This window comes from Homo sapiens, chromosome 16, assembly GCF_000001405.40.
Source record: "Homo sapiens chromosome 16, GRCh38.p14 Primary Assembly".
Classification (NCBI taxonomy): domain Eukaryota; kingdom Metazoa; phylum Chordata; class Mammalia; order Primates; family Hominidae; genus Homo; species Homo sapiens.
In genome coordinates this window covers 89,475,153-89,490,835 of record NC_000016.10, presented here as the reverse complement: position 1 = coordinate 89,490,835, position 15,683 = coordinate 89,475,153, and the positions used below count along the sequence as shown (strand labels likewise).

The 15,683-nt window shown below is 48.5% G+C and overlaps 1 protein-coding gene across 4 annotated transcripts in view, besides 12 other annotated features; it reads left to right on the top strand.

The window, feature by feature from the left end:
* Positions 16 to 495: a silencer, noted in NCBI's record as "silent region_7906". NCBI's record gives its function as "represses an Ori minimal core promoter by ATAC-STARR-seq in GM12878 lymphoblastoid cells {active_cell/tissue: GM12878}" and the evidence as "EXISTENCE:reporter gene assay evidence [ECO:0000049][PMID:35858748]".
* The window catches only part of ANKRD11 (ankyrin repeat domain containing 11), a 222,932-nt gene continuing 207,523 nt past the window's right edge, over positions 275 to 15,683 (top strand). For all 4 annotated transcript variants that reach the window (NR_045839.2, NM_001256183.2, NM_013275.6 and 1 more), the window contains exon 1: positions 275 to 591. The gene's annotated coding sequence lies outside the window, so the exon portion shown is untranslated. The remainder of the gene's footprint in view (positions 592 to 15,683) is intronic.
* Positions 701 to 1,215: an enhancer, noted in NCBI's record as "H3K27ac hESC enhancer chr16:89556029-89556543 (GRCh37/hg19 assembly coordinates)". NCBI's record gives its function as "activates a minimal SCP1, AML or CMV promoter by ChIP-STARR-seq in naive H9 embryonic stem cells {active_cell/tissue: H9 hESC(naive)}" and the evidence as "EXISTENCE:reporter gene assay evidence [ECO:0000049][PMID:30033119]".
* Positions 1,070 to 1,119: a silencer, noted in NCBI's record as "silent region_7905". NCBI's record gives its function as "represses an Ori minimal core promoter by ATAC-STARR-seq in GM12878 lymphoblastoid cells {active_cell/tissue: GM12878}" and the evidence as "EXISTENCE:reporter gene assay evidence [ECO:0000049][PMID:35858748]".
* Positions 1,200 to 1,309: a silencer, noted in NCBI's record as "silent region_7904". NCBI's record gives its function as "represses an Ori minimal core promoter by ATAC-STARR-seq in GM12878 lymphoblastoid cells {active_cell/tissue: GM12878}" and the evidence as "EXISTENCE:reporter gene assay evidence [ECO:0000049][PMID:35858748]".
* Positions 1,200 to 1,729: a biological region, named in NCBI's record as "H3K27ac hESC enhancer GRCh37_chr16:89555515-89556028".
* Positions 1,216 to 1,729: an enhancer, noted in NCBI's record as "H3K27ac hESC enhancer chr16:89555515-89556028 (GRCh37/hg19 assembly coordinates)". NCBI's record gives its function as "activates a minimal SCP1, AML or CMV promoter by ChIP-STARR-seq in naive H9 embryonic stem cells {active_cell/tissue: H9 hESC(naive)}" and the evidence as "EXISTENCE:reporter gene assay evidence [ECO:0000049][PMID:30033119]".
* Positions 1,350 to 1,419: a silencer, noted in NCBI's record as "silent region_7903". NCBI's record gives its function as "represses an Ori minimal core promoter by ATAC-STARR-seq in GM12878 lymphoblastoid cells {active_cell/tissue: GM12878}" and the evidence as "EXISTENCE:reporter gene assay evidence [ECO:0000049][PMID:35858748]".
* Positions 2,319 to 2,388: an enhancer, noted in NCBI's record as "active region_11413". NCBI's record gives its function as "activates an Ori minimal core promoter by ATAC-STARR-seq in GM12878 lymphoblastoid cells {active_cell/tissue: GM12878}" and the evidence as "EXISTENCE:reporter gene assay evidence [ECO:0000049][PMID:35858748]".
* Positions 2,539 to 2,808: an enhancer, noted in NCBI's record as "active region_11412". NCBI's record gives its function as "activates an Ori minimal core promoter by ATAC-STARR-seq in GM12878 lymphoblastoid cells {active_cell/tissue: GM12878}" and the evidence as "EXISTENCE:reporter gene assay evidence [ECO:0000049][PMID:35858748]".
* Positions 2,539 to 3,087: a biological region, named in NCBI's record as "H3K4me1 hESC enhancer GRCh37_chr16:89554157-89554657".
* Positions 2,587 to 3,087: an enhancer, noted in NCBI's record as "H3K4me1 hESC enhancer chr16:89554157-89554657 (GRCh37/hg19 assembly coordinates)". NCBI's record gives its function as "activates a minimal SCP1, AML or CMV promoter by ChIP-STARR-seq in primed H9 embryonic stem cells {active_cell/tissue: H9 hESC(primed)}" and the evidence as "EXISTENCE:reporter gene assay evidence [ECO:0000049][PMID:30033119]".
* Positions 3,088 to 3,588: an enhancer, noted in NCBI's record as "H3K4me1 hESC enhancer chr16:89553656-89554156 (GRCh37/hg19 assembly coordinates)". NCBI's record gives its function as "activates a minimal SCP1, AML or CMV promoter by ChIP-STARR-seq in primed H9 embryonic stem cells {active_cell/tissue: H9 hESC(primed)}" and the evidence as "EXISTENCE:reporter gene assay evidence [ECO:0000049][PMID:30033119]".

Sequence of the window (15,683 nt, the reverse complement as noted above, 5' to 3'; positions counted from 1 at the left end):
CTCGCTACTTCCAGTGTCGCATGCGCCCTTACGCAGGACCCTGCCCAATCGTTACCGGGACGTCCTCCTAGTCCCGCCTCCGGACCGCCAGAGAGGCTGTCAATCCCGCCTCTCTCCTTCACTCCATTAGCGCACTAACTCACGGCGCTGTGACGTGCACAGCCCCTGCGGCCGGCCGGGGCGGGCCAATGGCGGTGGCGGATACGGCGGGCCAATGGGCGGGAGCGTCTCATGCGGCCGGCTCCCGCCGCAGCCGCCGCTGGGTCCTGGAGCCAGAGGCCGCCCTGAGACGGTGCGCGATGGACCGAGGGCCCCAGCCGGGGAGGCGCCGCCGCCGAGCCCGCGGCCAGACGCCCCATCAGTAGCGTCCGCACCGGGAGCCGCGGCTCTCGCCCGAGCCGTGGGCGCGCCCGAGGGGCGGGCTCGCCTCCCGCCGTCCCTCGCAGCTCTGCCGGGCCCGAGCCCGCGCCGCCGCCGCCGCCGCCTTGCCGCTCGGGCCGCGCGGCCCGGGAAACGCGGCCGCGGGCTGCATGGGCAGCGCCCGCGCCCCGCCGCTGAGCCGTCGCGGAGCCGCGCAGCCCTCGGAGCACGGTGAGAGGCGCCGCTGGTCTGGGGGCGGTGGTCGGGGCGGGCACGGGGCATTCGCGCGGCCTTGCGGCCTGCAGGCCTTCCCCGGCGACGGAGCTGCGCCGCGGGCCTCCGGGCGGGCCTGGGGGGTCGGGGCCGGGTGGGCGGGGGTCTTTGGGGGCCCGGGGCGATCGTGAGGGACCAATAATGGGTCCCGGAGCGGGCCTACGGGTCCGGGTTCGGGGCAGCCGGGGGTCTTTGGGGGCCCGGGGTGGCCGTGAGGGGCCCATAGGGGGCTCCGGGGGGGGCCTGGGAGGTCGGCGGAGCTTGGGTCGGCCGTAAGGGGCGGACGGGGGCTCCGGGCGGGCCTGGGTGGCCGGGGGCCCGCGGCGGCTCTGAGGGGCCGATTGGGGGCTCCGGGGCGGGCCTGGGGGCCGTGGGGGCCCGGGGCGGCCGTGAGAGGCGGACAGGGGGCTCCGGGGCGGGCCTCGGGGGCTCGGAGCGGCCGTGAGGGGCGGACGGGGGGCTTCGGGGCGGGCCTGCAGGTCTTGGGGACCTGAGGCTGCCGGGAGGGGCTGCCAGGGGGCGCTGGCCGGGCGCCGGGTTCTGCGGAGCTGGGGCGCCGACCTCTGACCCGCGAGAGGGGCGCCTTCGCCGTGCTGGTCGTAGTTGTTATTCTCAGCGTCCCTATTATTATCGCTGTTTTGAAATGAGAGCAGGCGGCTCTCGGGCTCCGAGCCGGAGGGGGAGGGCGAACTGGGGACCTGGGGGCGTCGGGGTTGCAGGAGGCGCGCGTAGGCCGAGGAGGGGCAGGAATGCGGGCAGCCGTGTGGGGGGTGTTAGGGGGAGGGTAGGCGGGCGGGTGTGGGGGGTGGCTGGGAGGAAAGCGGTGGCGGTGGCGGCTGCAACAGCAGCCCTTGGCCTCAAGGAACAATGTGAGACGTTGCCTGAAATGTTAATTTCCGTTCCTCATTTCATCATCCCCTGGCAGGGCGGTAGCTGTGTGTGTGGTGTATGTGTGTGCGCGCGCGCGCGCGCGCGCGTGTGTGTGTGTGTGTAGGGTTGGCCCTGCCACATTGATTCAGTCCCCTCTCAAAGAGGGATTGTACTGTTAACTCTTGTGTTTGTGTTATTTGGGAAGGTTGGTCGGGGGGAGTCTTGATTTTTCTCGAGGCTTGCTCTTTTCCTGGTGCCCCATTAAGATTTTCTGCTTCTGTTGTGTTTTTGGAAGGTTAGTGTTATATATCAGCTTCCAAGAAGTTTTGGAAGAGGCTTGGGAAGATGAAGCTGGTCTAACAGCTCCCTATGCTTTGAAACTGTTTTCCTTCTATGTAACATGCTTAGGATTCATCGTTTTTGTAGATTATGAGTAGTTTTGTATCCTTTTGCAAGAACAGGGTTTTATGGTAGAGAAATTAGATTTCAGGCTTTCTTACATGAGGAGAGAGTTTTATGCAGTCATTAGAGCAATATCCTTAACACTTGAAATGAGAAATAAAAGTGTGCACAGTTGTTGAACTGCAAAACTTAGAGAATCTTTTGATCCTTTTTGGGATGTTGAGACTTAGCCAAACATATAAGATGATATTACCTGTGGAAAAAGTGCCATCGAAACAGTTACTGTTTTTGTTGTGTGCAGACCTAGTCTATGGCATAACGTTCAAAATCGGAGACCCTGAGGCTGTTTCTTTGGTTTCTCTGAGACCTTGATTTCTCTTAGTAAGTATTGGCTGCCCTGGAAGACTTCGAGTTCTGTTAGAGAATGATTACAGAAGTCCTCTGATTTTACTCTGCAACTGTAGTTAAACTAGAAAAAAAGGGGGGGGGGCGGATGTCTTGCTCAGCCTTCATTGTGACCCTTGCATTGGATCTCGTATAGTTGGTGTGGCCTCCCCTACCCTCCATTCAGCTGTTGTTCTCCTCTTTCTGTAGTTTCTCCCCGAAGAGCAGGATCTCCTTCGATAGGCTGGCCATCTGAATGGAACTGGATGGGAGGGAACAAAGACCAAGTTGCTGTGACGTTTTCTCTGTTCTTCGTGATGCCTCTTAAGTTTGTTGAAAAGTTCCCCACAAGATAGTGCTAAATTTGACCTAAACTTGAAACTTTCAGCAGTTTTTTTCTTCTGTTCTATTTTTGCTGTAGTAAAATATACATAACACAATTTACCAGAATTTTGTTTTTAAAGGTGTCACCTTTAAAACCTGAGTTCCTCTTTTGCAGCTCTCATTTGCGTCAGCCTTCTGACTTGCATTGCCACCGCCAGATGCTTTTCTCCGGACTGGCCATGCTGGGCACCCCATACCAGCAGTGCCATCACACCCTCCCAGATGGGCTGTTGATGACGAGCGGCTGCCATGTTAGCGGTAATTACAGTGTTGATACGGTGGCAAGTAGAACTCCCTACAAATAGAGTGAAGGAAACTATGCTGTTTGTGTTGGACAGTATTTTTCCAAGAAGTTTTTGTGCCCCTTTTTATTTTATTTTATTTTTATTTTTTTGGAGTCTCGCTCTGTCGCCCAGGCTGGAGTGCAGTGGCGCAATCTTGGCTCATTGCAACCTCCGTCTCCTGGGGTTCAAGCAGTTCTCTGCCTCAGCCTCCCGAGTAGCTGGGATTACAGGCGCCCACCGCCACGCCTGGCTAATTTTTGTATTTTTAGTAGAGATGGGGTTTCACCATGTTGGCCACGCTGGTCTTGAACTCCTAACCTTGTGATCCACCTGCCTTGGCCTCCCAAAGTGCTGGGATTACAGGCGTGAGCCACCGCGCCCGGCCTCTTTTTGTGCCTTTTTAAGTAGATTTGACATAGAAAGGTTATGCTTCATCAAATATAAGAGGAGTCTTATTTTGCATATGGGCAGAGAGCCCATCATCAATTAAATAACATAATTAGAGAGTATCAGTAAATGCTGGCTCAGAAAATAATCTGCATTTTGTTGCCAAAATAAGTGTTTTGATCTGTCCATTACTCTGTGTAACTCCCTTCATCCTCAAATCGTAAGTGTAATGGGTGAGTGTCTCTTAATAGCAAGGTATTTGTAGTTAATCGGTGAAAATGATGGTGCATCCCTTGTCTGGTGGCTGCGTCAGTTTGTGACTCTTGTGTAGTCAGTGCTCTGTGGGAATTCAGTGTGGCCCGTTTGATAAACTTTATAGAAAAATGGAATGAATTCAAATAAAAGTTATTGTCTTGAAATTTTGAAATGTTTTCAGTGTGTGTTCTCTTAATTTGAAATTGTTTTTTTCTTTTTTTTTTTTTTGAGACGGAGTCTCGCTTTGTTGCCCAGGCTGGAGTGCAGTGGCATGATCTCGACTCACTGCAACCTCCACCTCCTGGGTTTAAGCAATTCTCCTGCCTCAGCCTCCCAAGTAGCTGGGATTACAGACACCTCCTACCAAACACGGCTAATTTTTTTTTATTGTTAGTAGAGACTGGAGTTTCACCATGTTGGCCAGGCTGGTTTCAAACTCCTGACCTCAAGTGATCCACCTGCCTCGGCCTCCCAAAGTGCTGGGATTATAGACGTGAGCCACCATGCCTGGCCTCAAATGTTATTTTTATGATAACGTCCCAAATGGTGACTGTGGCCTAACTCTGATACCATGCCCCATTCTTGACCCTGCCCCAAGCTTCCAGTCATTCTGGCTGCGTTGGCCTTGCCTTTCCTCAGTTGGGCCATGTGCCATAGTTTGTGGCATGGCCTCGACATACCTCGCTGCCATCTCATGCAGATCCCCCCAAACTCCAAGATAACTCCTACTCAGCCTTTGCGTCTTAGTGTAATATCACTTCCTTTAGTAAGTCTTTTTTTTTTTTTTTTGAGGCAGGGTCTCGGTGTGTTGCTCAGGCTGGAGGGCAGCGGCCAGTTGCGTGAACGTGGCTCTCTTCAGTCTCGACTCCCTGAGCTGAAGCGATCCTCCCACCTCAGACTCCTGAGTAGCTGGGACCACAGGCATGTGCCGCCGTGCCCAGCTAATTTATTTTACTTTTTGTAGAAACAGGGTCTTCCTGTGTTGTGTAGGCCTCAGCCTTCTGGGGTTGGCTTACCTCAGTCTCCTAAAGTGTTGGGATTATAGGCATGAGCCACTGTGCTCAGCCCCCTTTTGTTTTCATTACAAGTTTGCTTTTATAACTTAGATAAAGGTGGGAAGACAGTTTTCACAATTAAGGCAGAACAAGAGATAAAGAAACATAAAGGGAGAGTTGTCTTTGTGGGAAGAAAGTGCTTTCTGTGAAAGCACTTTTAGCAGGACTGCTGTTTTCAGGCCAGAGTAGAAGGGCCAGAAGCAGTTTTTATTCAGATTTCCTCATCGTTTCCATCAAGGTCTCAGTGACTGTAAAGGATGGGTTGAAATCAGTCTGGACTAAGTGTGGTTTGCTGCTGCTGCTTATGAGGATTAAGTGTCTCGTTTGTCCGGAGGCCCCTCTGGTCACATGTAGCTGAGCAGGTGGAGTGATATGAAAGTTTTAGCATTTTAATGAAGAAAAAATGATCTCTTTGGAGGGAAAGACAACGAAATGGAGGTGTGCCCTATTGATTTTTTTCTGTATGTTTAGGTTTTCAAAGTTTCTTTGTAAATGAAACTGTTATGTAATTGGCAAAAGTTTGCTTTTTAAAGACTAATTGTGGGTATATTTGGGAGATTGCGACTTGTTTTAGATTTTTGGGTTTACAGTAAGGGGCTAGGGTATTTGGTGGAGGGGAACTGGTTGATTGTGGTTGAAAACATTCAGATACTATTCTAGCTCTAAGAAACCTCACAGTTTTGTTTTGTTTTGAGACAGAGTCTCTGTCACCTAGGCTGGAGTGCAGTGGCACGATCTTGGGTCATAGCAACCTCTGCCTCCCGGATTCAAGTGATTCTTCTGCCTCAGCCTCCCGAGTAGCTGGGACTACAGGCCCATACCACCACTCCCAGTTAGTGTTTTTTTTTTTTTTTTTTTAAAGTAGAGATGGGGTTTCCCCATGTTGGTCAGGCTGGTCTGGAACCCCTGACCTCAGGTGATCCAGCCGTCTTGGCCTCCCAAAGTGCTGGGATTACAGGTGTGAACTACCGCGCCTAGCCAGAAACCCCACAGTGCTAAAGCTGGCTCTGTGAATAAAGGGTTAAGAGGGTTTTCAGTGTGAAAATAAAAGTAAGCCGTCCTGTCTGTATGGCTGAGATTTTTCAGGGGCCTAGAGGACCGAATCCTGTTGAGTGAAAATCCAGTCTTCTGGGCTTCCCCACACCCGCTTTCTCTCTTCCTCTTGGAGGTCAAGGTTGAGACAGCTGTCAGGGTGCTGCTGTCTCAGTTACAGCGTCCTTGTGGCTGGTGGAGGGTGAGACCTGTTTCCAGGCCTGTCCTTCGCATCTGTGCAGTGAATTATTTATTATCCTGGAAATCTGTAGGGCTCTTTTTTCCACGTGTAAAGCAACCAATGTGTACCTGTTCATTATTTGAAAATGTTGGCTTTTTCTCAACAAACCATTTTTATACCATATGAAAATTTCTTTTGTCATGGTAAAATTCAGAAGACTTTCCCCTTCATTACTTAACTCTAAAAAATGTGACTTTTAAGAATGGCTGAAATTGAAATGTTATTTGTAAATGCCTAATAACTTTATGATATCAGAGGTTATTTTTTATGTAAAATTAGCAAATAAACCTCTTTTCTTGGTGCATTGATAGTAAGTTGCCCTTCCTCGACTCCCTATGGCTCTTTTCAGACTTAGGATGCTAATGGCTTAGAATAAATTTTGGAATGCAGTATTTCCAAGTAAAGGGAAGATTGCGTAGGCTGCTTGGTTCCTGAGGTTTTACTAGAGTTAGGATTAGCTTACTGCTGCATTCATATCTGACACAATCAAAGAAGACTTTGGTTTAATTCTGGATGATGATGTAAACTTGAAATCATTATGGCTGTACTGTTTAAACTTATCTAAAATAGAGAAGGTAAGACGCAGTGAAGGACCTTATTTTTCTCTTAAGAAATCAAGCTTTGTTAGTATCCACCATGTTTCTAGATGTGGTTTTACATCTTGCAAAACAGGAAATAAAAGTAAAAAACCAAAAAAACCCCAGAGCACCACTCTTGAAAGGATTAAGTTTTTAAAAATGATTTTGACTAAGATGTCTGGCTGATTAAAGGATGTGCAGAGCACTGAATAACCTTTGCCTTTTCTGATGGTGACAAAGAAGAAATCCAGCTTTCAGGCAGCCGAAGAGCGTCTCGAGAGCTTGTAGTGTTAGTATTCCACAGCCCCACAGTTGATTCGGATTTCAAGGAATTTTTAGACTTTGTGGATTTTTTCTTCACTATAATTGTATGTTTGGCTCCTAATTTATTTAAATTACATACATAGATATTTTTGTTACTTTGAGAATAGTCTATCTGAAATTTGAAGTTCTTTAGAGCTTAATATATTAAATATGCTAACACTCAAAACATTTTCTTTCTTTTTTTTTTTTTTTGAGATGGAGTTTCCCTCTTGTTGCCCAGGCATGATCTTGGCTCACCGCAACCTCCGCCTCCCGGGTTCAGGCGATTCTCCTACCTCATCTTCCCGAGTAGCTGGGATTACAGGCACGCGCCACCACTCCTGGCTAATTTTGTATTTTTCGTAGAGACGGGGTTTCTCCGTGTTGGTCAGGCTGGTCTCAAACTCCCGACCTCAGGTGATCTGCCTGCCTTGGCCTCCCAAAGGGCTGGGATTACAGGCGTGAGCCACCATGCCCGGCCTAAACATTTTCTCACAGGCATTTTTCCCCTGACACATGCGAGAGGTATCTTTGAATTGTATCCTTTATCTTTTAGTGTGAAACTCAGAAAAGTGATGCACGCTTGCACTTACAGTTCAGGTAAAATGTTAAGCATATTCAATGAGATTTACATTCATGCTTGATTTTTCTTTGGCAAAGTCTTTAGATCTGATTCTGCTAAACTTGGGTTCTCACCAGATGACTGGCTTTTAAAAGAAGATGATGTTGAAACTGACTCTTGTAAAAAAGGACATTTAGTAGAAGCTAATGGTACGGTGAAGTTTTAGAGAGTTGAGGAGAAAATCTGTCTTAGAACTTAATCTGTGCCTTTTCCTTAATAGCTTTCTTCTAAGCCCATAAATATATTGGTTCAGGGGGATGAGTGAAGGCAAATGGAGGGTGTGGAAGGGAGACAGAGAACAGCTCTTGGGCGTTGGAGAAGTGCTGGGACTTGTGTCAGTGCTGCCCGTGTTGGTTTTCCAGCGCTGCTGTAACTAACCACCATAACCTTAGATTTATTGTTTTATAGTTCTGTTGATTAGAAGCCTAACATGATCTGCCTGGGCTAAAATCTGGGTAGGTAGGGCTGGTTCCTTCTGGAGGCTCCAGGGGAGAATCTGTGTTCTTGTCTTTTCCGTGTTCCAGAGGCTGCCTGCATTCGGCCTGTAGTGCTTTCCTCAGTCTTCAAAGCCAGCCTCATGGCATCTCTCTGACTCCTGCTGCCCACCCGCTTTTTTGGAGAGTCTCGGCTCTGTTGCCCAGGCTGGAGTGCAGTGGCACAATCAAGGCTCACTGCAGCGTCGACCTCCTGGGCTCAATCAATCCTCCCGCCTCAGCCCCCCAGCAGTGCTGGAATTACAGGCATGGAGCCACTGTGCCTGGCCCTTGTTTCACTTTTGGATCCTTGTGGTTACAAATTGGGCCCACCCGAGCACTGCGAGGTCATCTCCCTCTCTGCTGATTAGTAACCTCAGTTCCCTTTTCCACGTAACCTAAGGCATTCACAGGTTCCAGGGGTGAGCAAGCTGGAGGTTTTTCCAGTAATGTTCCCTTGCTGTCCTCAGATGCCATCCGGGATCCCACATTGCATTTAGTTGTCATGTCTCCTTAATCTCGTCTGCAACCATTTCTCAGCGTTTCCCTGTTTTTCATGACCTTGGCAGTTTTGATGAGGGCAGTCATCTTTTTTTATGTCTTTGTGACTGACCGTTCACACATTGGCATGTTTGTAAAGCACGGTGTGGCTGACGTGTGGCTCACCTGACTGCTTTTCCAAATGGGGTGCAGTGTGCTCTACAGTGGGAGAACAGCTTTGTGTCTTCTTTTAGCTGGAAGGAGCTACATGTTTTATAGAAGGGACTTCTGAAACTAGACAAACTCTGCTTTTTCTGATGTTTCACTGATTTCCTTCACAGATGTTCATTGGCTGCTCACTGGGTGCAGTGCTGTGGCCTCCTGTTCTGAGATCTGGGAGAAAGATGCATTTAGTTGACTAAAGCTTGCATTAAATATTGGTTCTTATGAAAAGAGAGATCATAGATCAGAGGAGGGAAAGGCTCTGTGACCTGGGAGATTTAAGGGAAGAAGTGCTATTTTTTTTTTTTTTAACTGTAAGCTATGTTTCTGTTTTAAAAAAAGAATCAGTAGAATGTCACTGCAGAAATCAGAGTAAGGGCATCTTCGACTTCGGGAAGGCTGGGGACAAAGGCTGGGAAGGCCGCATGTAACGTGAGAATGTCAGCCAGACGTGTCTGAACACGAAAGCCCATCCAAGAAGATGGAAGATGACAGCAGATTAACCTGGAAGCATGACTGGAGTTGGGTTGTGTAGGGTTTGCAATGATAGACCTGAATTTCATTTGCTTACTTGTTTTGAGGCAGAAGATGATGTGTCAGAGTTTGCAGGCGGTGGATGCCTAGATGAAAGCACTGGCTTTGCAACACCATGGTGCCTAAATGGTTCTTTTTTTGAGACAAGGTCTTGCTCTGTCACTCAGGGTGGAGTGCAGTGGCGTGACCATATCTCACTGCATCCTTGAGCTTCTGGGCTCAAGTGAGCCTCCTGCGTCAACGTCATGAGTGGCTAGAACTACAGACGTGCGCTAATTTTTAAAAATTCTTTGTAGAAATGGGGTTTCGCTATGTTTCTTAGGCTGATGTTGAACTCCTGGCCTCAAGTAGTCCTCCTGCCTCAGCCTCCCAAAGTGCTGGGATGACAGGCACAAGACATCACATGCAGCCTTAAGAAGATCCCTACAAGAGAACCTGGAGAAACTTGAAATAGGGAAGGGGACTCGAAAGCACACTGTGTAGGTGAATTGTGAAGACTTCATGGTGTTAACTGGTATTCATTAAAAAGACTTGGAAAAAGAGAAGATGAATTGATTCCCAGTGGAGGGAATGGGGCAAACATTAGTTAGGAGAGTGGCTTTGTGAAACGATAGAGCAAAGGAGACAGAAAAGAAAGCAGGAATGGGGAACGGGGTGGTGGGGCAGAAGCTGGGTGCTGTTTATTTTGTGCCTACTGTGTGTCACTCTCCATTCTCTGCCCTGGGGACATTTGACAGATGTGGACGTCACTGGTGTGATTTGCCCACATTCTGGAGGGAGAAGTGGGCATCTCAGTTGAGGAAAGGAAATGGCTATCTGGGGAATTCTTGAGGGGCACAGCCCAGGACGGAGCCTTGTGTTAGATGGGTACCTGCTGGCTCTGCTCAGCTCGGCAGATGTGTTGCCTAAATGACTTTAATGGCCAAGGCAGACTGGTATTTGCCCTCAGATATTTTGTCAGGACAGTGTAAAATGTGGGCCAAGATAGTGGTTTTGGGTCCAAACAGAAGGGGGTTAGAGATTTTGGAGGTTGAAGCCTGCTGCTAGAAGGAGTATAGAAAGAAGAACGGGGATTCTGTTTGCCCAAATACATGGTTAGGCTCATCTTGGACTTGTTTTTGTTTTATATCTTCTGTTACTTCTATGCACATATTAATAGATACCTAATTAATATTTGGTTGGAAATCTTAAAAGTTAGGATTTTTTTTTTCTTTTTTTTTGAGATGGAGTCTCACTCTGTCGCCCAGGCTGGAGTGCAGTGGTGTGATCTCGGCTCACTGCAACCTCCGCCTCCTGGGTTCACGCGATTCTCCTGCCTCAGCCTCCCGAGTAGCTGGGACTACAGGCACCCACCACCAGGCTCGGCTAATTTTTTTGTATTTTTAATAGAGTCAGGGTTTCGCCATGTTAGCCAGAATGGTCTCAATCTCCTGACCTTGTGATCCACCCGCCTTGGCCTCTCAAAGTGCTGGGATTACAGGCGTCAGCCATCACGCCTGGCCTAAAAGTTAGGATTTTTAAAAAGGCTTGTGGTCTGAGAAGGAAGGCAATAATACTTGGCAGGAAAGACTTAATTTTTTTTTTTTGAGACTGAGTCTTGCTCTGTTGCCCAGGCTGGAGTGCAATGACACGATCTCAGCTCACTGCAACCTCTGCCTCTCGGGTTCAAGCATTTCTCCTGCCTCAGCCTCCCGAGTAGCTGGGATTAGAGGTGTGTGCCATCACGCCCGGCTAGTTTTTTTTTTTTTTTTTTTGAGATGGAGTCTCGCTCTGTCACCCAGGCTGGAGTGCAGTGGCACAATCTCGGCTCACTGCAAGCTCCGACTCCCAGGTTCATGCCATTCTCCTGCCTCAGCCTCCCGAGTGGTTGGGACTACAGGCACCTGCCACCACCCCCGGCTAATTTTTTGTATTTTTAGTGGAGATGGGGTCTCACCGTGTTAGCCAGGATGGTCTCAATCTCCTGAACTCGTGATCCGCCCCCTCGGCCTCCCAAAGTGCTGGGATTACAGGTGTGAGCCACTGCGTCTGGCCTTTTTAAAATTTAATTTAATTTTTTTTGGGGGCGGAGTTTCGCTCTGTTGCCCAGGCTGGAGTGCAGTGGTGTGATCTCAGCTCACTGCAACCTCCGCCTCCTGGGTTCAAATGATTCTCTTGCCTCAGCCTCCAGAATAGCTGGGATTACAGGCATGTGCTACCAAGCCCAGCTAATTTTTTTGTATTTTTAGTAGACATGGGGTTTCTCCGTGTTGGTCAGGCTGGTCTCAAACTCCCGACCTCAGATGATCCGCCTGCCTCGGCCTCCTTAAGTGCTGGGATTGCAGGTGTGAGCCACTGCGCCAGGCCTAGATATTTTTTATATCAGGTCACATGTGTTTTATCTAGGAGGCAAACTTTCCTTGTAATTAGTGTTTTTTTTTTCCTTTTTTTGTTTTTGTTTGAGTGGAGTCTCGCCACTGCGTCTGGCCGTCATTAATGTTTTTCTAGTGATGTTGCACTCTCTTGACGTCAGTTAACTGTCACCTGAATCTTCAGGGACTGGGTTGGGTTGTGGGGTAGGTGGTGGCGTGACTTGCTGTTGATGGGACTGCTGTCCACAGGAACAGGAGGACCCACTAGTTACACAGCTGCCAAAGGTGTGGGTCTTGAGGCCCGAAGGTTGAGGTTGCAGTGAGCTGAGATCATGCCACTGGTCTCTAGCCCCGGTGACAGAGTGAGAACATCTCAAAAAAGAAAAGAAAAAGTGTTGGGTCATTATTTACACACCCAACAAGTGAAAGGTCTGGAGGGCCCAAGTGAGGACAGCTCAGTTCAGGCATGTTTAACCTCCAGATTACCTCATCCTTGAGAAATTTAGGAATAATCCCAGTGTCAGTCTTTGGAGGTGTGGTTCTTTGATGTTAGTCATGGGAATAAGGAATTTGCATTAAGCCTCAAGAATTGTGGAAAGTCCTAATGAGAAATGTCACGGGCAGAAACTGCCACCCGCTTTAGTGGTGCAGGTGATGGCTGTGCCGGAGAGCTGCGCGTAGCCGGCTGCTGGAGGAGAGGACGTGGCCTGTACAGGCAGCTTCGCTCTGGGGGGTGACTGTTGGAGGGCAGCGGGGACGAAAGGGACACATTTGTATGATGCTCAGTTGTCAGCAGGATGTCCAGGTTGCTTTTTTGGAGGGCAGTGGGTCCTTGAGACCTTGAGACCCATTCTCTTTGGAAAGTAATGAGTTACCGGGTGGGGGCTGTAGGAGGATGTTCAGTTGTGGTGTGGAGGCGTCGGGTTGCTTAACCTCAGAGGGATCTTTTTTCCTATGAGTTGTGTAGAAGAGGATGTCTTCCATAGATTTGAAGGACGTTAAAAAAAAAACCAACCCCAATGTGGCTTTCCTTCTTTCTCACTAGGGTGATAGTCCGACGTGCATGTCTGTTTCCTGGACCCTGGATGTGAAAATGGGGTTCTTGAAGGCACTGGGAGTGTTTCTCTGCTGGCCCCAGAGGCCTGTGTGTGCTGCTGGCGAGGCAGCTGGGCCACTGTCACTGTGCCCTGACAACAACGTTGGGAACTGTTCCTGAAAGTGTTAAACAAAATTTCAGTTTATTAAGCGCTCCTCTCATTAAGCCATTGTTTTATTTTTCTTTTTTGATTTTTTGGGCTTCTTTTGAAGCCATAATAAATTGGAATAGAAAGAATACATACCAAGAAACAAATATTAGGTCTGATTTTTTAATTTTTTGTTATTATTTTTGAGATGGAGTCTTGCTCTGTCCCCAGACTGGAGTGCAGTGGCGTGATCTTGGCTCACTGAAACCTTCGCCTCCTGCGTTCAAGCAGTTCTCCTGCATTCAAGCAGTTCTCCTGCCTGCCACCACACCTGGCTGATTTTTGAATTTTTAGTAGAGTTGGGGTTTCACCATGTTGGCCAGGCTGGTCTTGAACTCCTGACCTCAGGTGATGTACCTGCTCAGCCTCCCAAAGTGCTGGGATTACAGGCATGAGCCACCGCGCCCGGCCTCTCCAATATTTTTATTATTAAAATGCTAAATACTGCCGGGCCCAGTGGCTCACACCTGTAATCCCAGCACTTTGGGAGGCTGAAGCGGGTGGATCACCTGAGGTCAGGAGTTCGCGACCAGCCTGGGCCACATGGTGAAACCCTGTCTCTTCTAAAAATACAAAAAATTAGCTGGGCGTGGTGGCAGGCGCCTGTAATCTCAGCTACTCGGGAGGGTGAGGCAGGAGAATCGGTTGAACCCAGGAGGTGGAGGTTGCAGTGAGCCAGAATCGCACCACTGCACTCCAGCCTGGGTGACAGAGTGAGACGCCATCTCAGAGAGAAAAAAAAGAAATTACGCGTGGTGGCCCATGCCTGTCATCCCAGCTACTGAGGAGGCTGAGGCAGGAGAATCGCTTGAACATGGGAGGTGGAGGTTGCAGTGAGCCGAGATGGCGCCACTGCACTCCAGCTTGGGCACCAGAGTGAGACTCTGTCTCCAAAAAAAAAAAAAAAGGGGAAATGACTTAAAGGTGATGGCTTTTATACTTCTATTGTGCCTGTTTTCTGAGATATAAATTTAACTAGCTAATTCTCTCGTGTTTTAAATAGTAGACAAAGAAAGACAAGACCAAAGGAGAACCTTTTTCTCTGTTTCTTACTCCGTCTGCTTTTATTAATAGATGCTCACGGTGTGGTCTTCCACTCACTTCCCCTTTCATCTCTGAGCTTAACGAGCTCCTCGTATTATAGATTGTTACCATATCATGTGTTCCAGTCTGTGCCCGTGTATAAACGTGTGTTGTGTGTTACGCGATACTGTGAGATGAGTCTGCCCAGAGGGACTCTGAAGTCAGGACTGTGTCTTTTCCACACCTCTCCACCCCAGCTCTCATCATGCCTCTGAGAGAACCAGATTCAGAGTGTGGTGAGGGGAGGATGAAGTGGTTTGGGGTGGGCCTTGGGCCCCCATCTCTTTGCTGGAAGTGTAGTATACCTCTAGGATATGTGTCCAAACTGTTGGCTGTGAGACCAAGGAGGAGAAGTCTTTTTTGGCAGGCTAGTGCCTGCGGCTTGAGGTCTCAGTGTCTGTAACTGCCAGGCTGCAGAGCCCCACCTGGCTGAGTCAGGAGTGTGTTGTAACCTGCCCACCTGCCCAGGCTGGTTAGAAGCAAGCGTAGGCGTTGGGTCTGCCTGTCCTGGTCCAGGCACCTCTCCTGGTTTGGCCAGGTTTTGGTTTGTATTTATTCCTGATGTTGATGTGTAAATGATATCGTTACAAAGCAGGTAGTTTGCTTTGCTATTCTACGAATAACCCAAGAACCTGAGGATAATAGGACACGTTAACAGTCTGCTAGTTGAGAGTTCTGTTTCTGTGACTTCAGGGGACATATGACCATCCCGATTGTGGTGGGTTATTAAGGCTGTGACAAGTCACAGGTGGCTTTAGGGATGTCAAAGATAGGCAAAGATAGGTTCATTTGAATTTGATTTCATCTTTTGAGAATGGGTTGGTATACCTGAAATTGGCTTTGTAGTTTTGGTATTTTGATGTGAGAAGGCATTGGCTGAATTTTTTTTGTTCTCATAATTTGCATATTTTCTGTGTTTTCTCCATTGTTTGGCTCAGTTGTTTTCTTTTTCTTTTTTTTTTTTTTTGAGACACAGTCTCGCTCTATCACTCAGGCTGGAGTGCAGTGGCGTGATCTTGGCTCCCTGCAACCTCCACCTCCCGGTTTCAAGCACTTCATCTGCCTCAGCCTCCCAAGTAGCTGGGACTACAGGTGCCCACCACCACGCCTGGTTAATTTTTAAATTTTTTTAGTAGAGACAGGGTTTCACCATGTTGGCCAGGCTGGTCTTGAACTCCTCACCTCAATTGATCCACCCACCTTGGCTTCCCAAAATGCTGGGATTCCAGGTGTGAGCCCCCGCACCTGGCCGGGGTCAGTTGTTTTCGTGTTCCTTATCCCTCTTTAAACTTGGGAGAGCATTTTGTGTTTCGTGGAGATATCACAGCATAGAACAGAATTTTGATTGTAATTGTTTGTTGTTGACTTGCTGTAGTACTGTTTTCAGACTTCCAGTGTGAACGATAAAAGATTATCTTAAAATTTTAGGAAAAATTATCTTTTGTGTGGGTAGTGAATAAATAATTAGCATTAATGTTACCGATGTCTTCTACCTAGTTCTTTATCAAAATTCTTTTCCTGACTGCAATATTTCATTTTAATAGAGAATAATTTTCATGTGAAACTGCTTGCTTTATATTTTCTTTCTGGTTGCTATAGAAACAGTGCAGCGTGGTGGGTTACGGGGCTTTCATGAGGGAGCTCTCTGGGAGGCAGCAGTCACCTGGTGATGAGGGAGGGGAATGGAATTGTCTTCTTTCACATCCCAGCTTGGCCACGGAGCCTCAGGAGCTGCATCATCAGAATGATTGGATTTTCTTGTCCCTCCAGCTTAAATGCTGTGGGCTTTGTTCTCCAGTGGAGTGGTCATTGCCTTTTTTCCTACCTGTGAGTTAGTCCATCTCTCCAACCCACTGACGACCCAAG